This window comes from Homo sapiens, chromosome 6, assembly GCF_000001405.40.
Source record: "Homo sapiens chromosome 6, GRCh38.p14 Primary Assembly".
Lineage (NCBI taxonomy): Eukaryota > Metazoa > Chordata > Mammalia > Primates > Hominidae > Homo > Homo sapiens.
This window is the reverse complement of record NC_000006.12, coordinates 93171703-93175826: the sequence shown is the minus strand read 5'-3', so window position 1 is coordinate 93175826 and position 4124 is coordinate 93171703. Positions and strand designations below refer to the sequence as shown.

At 39.2% G+C, this 4124-nt stretch overlaps 1 annotated feature.

Moving 5' to 3' along the window:
* Nucleotides 3053-3864: an enhancer, noted in NCBI's record as "H3K27ac hESC enhancer chr6:93881681-93882492 (GRCh37/hg19 assembly coordinates)". NCBI's record gives its function as "activates a minimal SCP1, AML or CMV promoter by ChIP-STARR-seq in naive H9 embryonic stem cells {active_cell/tissue: H9 hESC(naive)}" and the evidence as "EXISTENCE:reporter gene assay evidence [ECO:0000049][PMID:30033119]".

The following is a 4124-nucleotide window of genomic DNA, read 5'->3' as shown; positions in this document are numbered from 1 at the left end:
AGGAAGAGAAATCATGAAGAAAAAAGAAACTGTGAGAATAGCTCTAAGAAAAAGAACAGCCAAAAGGTGATTTAAAGGAGGAAAAAATAGTAAATGGGAGAGAGGTAATTACTGAACAACTTCTAGAAATAAATTTTCCTGAATTGAGAAAAGATTTGGGTCCAGAAATTAAAAGGGCTGACTAAGTTTCAGGCTGATTTAATAAGAAGATATATGCAACCAAGTAAATCCTTATAAAATGTGTGAACTCCAAGGGTAAAGAAAAAGGTTTATGTTTATAGCTTGGAAGAACAAGTTACTCACAAAGGAAAAATAATCACACTGGTATAGGCTTTATTTTTTGACCCCGGAAGCTAATAGACAATAGATCATTTAATACACTCAGGAAAACAAACAACATGCAAAAACTCCTATATTCAGTCCGTAATTTTCTTGTTTATTATCCGGTTGATGCCTTTTTTGAAAAAAGACAAAATATATAGAAAGAGTGACATACACAAACTGGAATGGTTTGCTATGCAACCATACTACCTAAGGAGAATACTTGAGGAAAGGCCATAAAAAGACAAATTAATCATAAGAGAGACAAGGTGAAAGAAGAGAGAACAGTGGTGAGTAATGACATTTAATATATGTAAGTTTAATAGGTGAGGATATGAGGAATTTCACAATCTAAGGGACTTATTTTAAAACAATTCAAATAATCACTCAATTATTCCAGCAAAACCTAGGAGATGGAGGTGGGCATGAGGGGGATAAAGAGAGGTTGAAAATGTTCTAATCATGTCATTATGGACAGGGGAATGGAGGACAAAAAAAAAGAAAAGAAAATATATTCTTAGAGTTTTTTCCTATTGAGGGTTAGGAAGGATATGTGGGAAAAAGTAAAGGACTGTAGGAGAAGGAGAGAATAAGTCTTGAATAAGTTGTATGAGAGAAGAGAATGGGACTGAAATCACCGAGGAAATGTAATTAGAGTGGAAACTACATTAATTTGGGAATGTATAGAACTTTCATCAACTCAGTCCAAATAGCATAAATATGTAAAATGTATATAGCATTATTTATTTAACTGTTATATGTTACATCTTAACACCAAGTTATGATCCAGTAGATTTGTTTCATGGTGATTCCAAAATGATTTCTGACCTCAAATGCAAATGGATGAACCAGTGCATCACAAGTTCAAAGATCTGGGGGGGTTCTGAGGAAATCAGTGTTAAGACAATGCAGAAATTCATACTAGTGTAAACTCATGCATTCTACACATTTGTGTTATTTCTTTTCCATATGATTAAATAAATCCACACTCTCCTTTCTTCTTCTTTTTATCTCTAGCTCCTAAATAGGTAAAATAAATGTATTAGTCTGTTAGAGCTGCCATACAAAGTATCACGGATTCGGTGACCTAAACAACCAAAATTAATTTTCTCACAATTCTAGAGACTAGAATTCCAAGATCAAGGCATTGACAAGGTTGATTTTTTTTTCTGGGGTGTAGGGGTGGGTTGCCCCTCCACACCTGTGGGTGTTTCTCATAAGGTGGAACGAGAGACTTAGGAAAGAAAAAGACACAGAGACAAAGTATAGAGAAAGAAATAAGGGGACCCGGGGAACCAGCGTTCAGCATATGGAGGATCCCGCCAGCCTCTGAGATCCCTTAGTATTTATTGATCATTCGTGGGTGTTTCTCCAAGAGGGGGATGTGTCAGGGTCACAAGACAATTGTGGGGAGAGGGTCAGCAGACAAACACGTGAACAAAGGTCTTTGCATCATAGACAATGTAAAGGATTAAGTGCTGTGCTTTTAGATATGCATACACATAAACATCTCAATGCTTTACAAAGCAGTATTGCTGCCCGCAGGTCCCACCTCCAGCCCTAAGGCGGTTTTTCCCTATCTCAGTAGATGGAGCATACAATCGGGTTTTATACCGAGACATTCCATTGCCCGGGGACAGGCAGGAGACAGATGCCTTCCTCTTGTCTCAACTGCAAGAGGCATTCCTTCCTCTTTTACTAATCCTCCTCAGCACAGACCCCTTACGGGTGTCGGGCTGGGGGACAGTCAGGTCTTTCCCTTCCCGAGGCCATATTTCAGACTATCACATGGGGAGAAACCTTGGACAATACCTGGCTTTCCTAGGCAGAGGTCCCTGCGGCCTTCCGCAGTTTTTGTGTCCCTGGGTACTTGAGATTAGGGAGTGGTGATGACTCTTAAGGAGCATGCTGCCTTCAAGCATCTGTTTAACAAAGCACATCTTGCACCGCCCTTAATCCATTTAACTCTGAGTGGACACAGCACATGTTTCAGAGAGCACGGGGTTGGGGGTAAGGTTATAGATTAACAGAATCTCAAGGCAGAAGAATTTTTCTTAGTACATAACAAAATGGAGTCTCTTATGTCTACTTCTTTCTACACAGACACAGTAACAATCTGATCTCTCTTGCTTTTCCCCACTCTGGGGCTTCTCTCTTTAGTTTGGAGGTGGCCATCTCTTTCTGGTGTTCTCACGTGGTCTTTTCTCTGTGTATGTCTCTATTCTAATCCCTTTTCTTTTTTAGGAAGTCAGTAATATTGAATTAGGCTCACACATATGACCACATTTTACCTTAATTACCCCTTTAAAGCCCCTGTCTTAAAAATACAGTTACATTCTGAGGAATTGGGGGCTAGGACTTCAACATATGGGTTTGGGCGACACAATTCAGCTCATAATAGCAAAATAAAACAAAATAAAATGAAATGTCTCTTACTTCTTTCTGTGGATTTTGAAATGTCCTAGGCCTGAGTTTTTGAGAACATTCTGTAAACCTCTAATTACTCTGTAAACTCTTGTAGCCTCTGAAATAATCATCAAACTGGAGGTTCTGCAGACACCAGGGGAAATAAAATCCTTTTGTTTGAGTATTTAAGAATACAAAATTTAAATTTCATTCTGATTTCTATTTAGAGATCTATCTATCATCTATCCACATACCTTACCTATCTATTTAATTTTGAGATATTGAGAGATTGTCCAGAGTAGTCTCTCTCCCCACAGAAGGTCTTCCACAGGCACTATCATCCAGGGAGAGCAAGCAGAACCTTGGAAAAATAAATTGTTAAATATCCAAATGGATTTTGTAAAGCATTATATTGAAGCATAATGCAGACACATAAATGGATTTCCATTTATATATATGACAATAGTCCTGAAAGCAATATTTTCTCTCATTCTTTTTTTTTTTTTTTTTTGAGATAGAGTCTCACTCTGTTGCCCAGGCTGAAGTACAGTGGCATGATCTCTGCTCATTGCAACCTCTGCCTCCTGCCTCAGCCTCCCAAGTAGCTGGGATTACAGGGGCGGGCCACCATGCCCAGCTAAATTTTATATTTTTAGTGGAGATGGGGTTTCTCCATGTTGGCCAGGCTGGTCTCAAACTTCTGACCTCAAGTGATCCGCCCACCTCAGCTCCCAAAGTGCTGGGATTACAGTCATGAGCCACAATGCCTCCTGCTCTCTCATTCTTTCTATCTTAATGATCAGGTGGTTTAAAAAGTAAAGGTTCTGTTTTCCTTTTAGTTGTTGGTTTCCTCTAAAACACTAACGTAAAATATAAAATTCTAAATCCTGGAAGACTTAGAATACGAAGTTTGAACTATAAATCATATGATGCAGAAGACTGTAATATCAGAGCATTGGTTTCTATCCAAAAGGAGGTGTGATTTCAACTAGCAAGGGGAAGAAGAATGTGAGTCATAAAATAGAGCATAGACCCTGGTTGGTGACTATCAAGAGACTTTGTATCCTTCTCCTCCAGGGACTGAAATTCTATTAAAGTCTATTGAAATTTCATATGAACCTCGGAGATACCTGGACCTGGGTGGCCTTAGGGAAGAAAGAACTGGTGCCTGACTCCCACACATGTAGTCCACTTACTGCATGTTTCACAGACAAGCCCAACATGGTAAATGAGTGACAGAGCAGCGAGATTGGGGAATAAGTCCCAGCAAAATGAGCACTGGGACAACAAATGGCACGGGGAGAGTCCTAGCAGGATTCCTGTGCCAGAAATTTCCATCATTCATTGATATTTGTTTATCTACCCCTTTTGGACCACTAGGAAAGATCGTGCTTTCT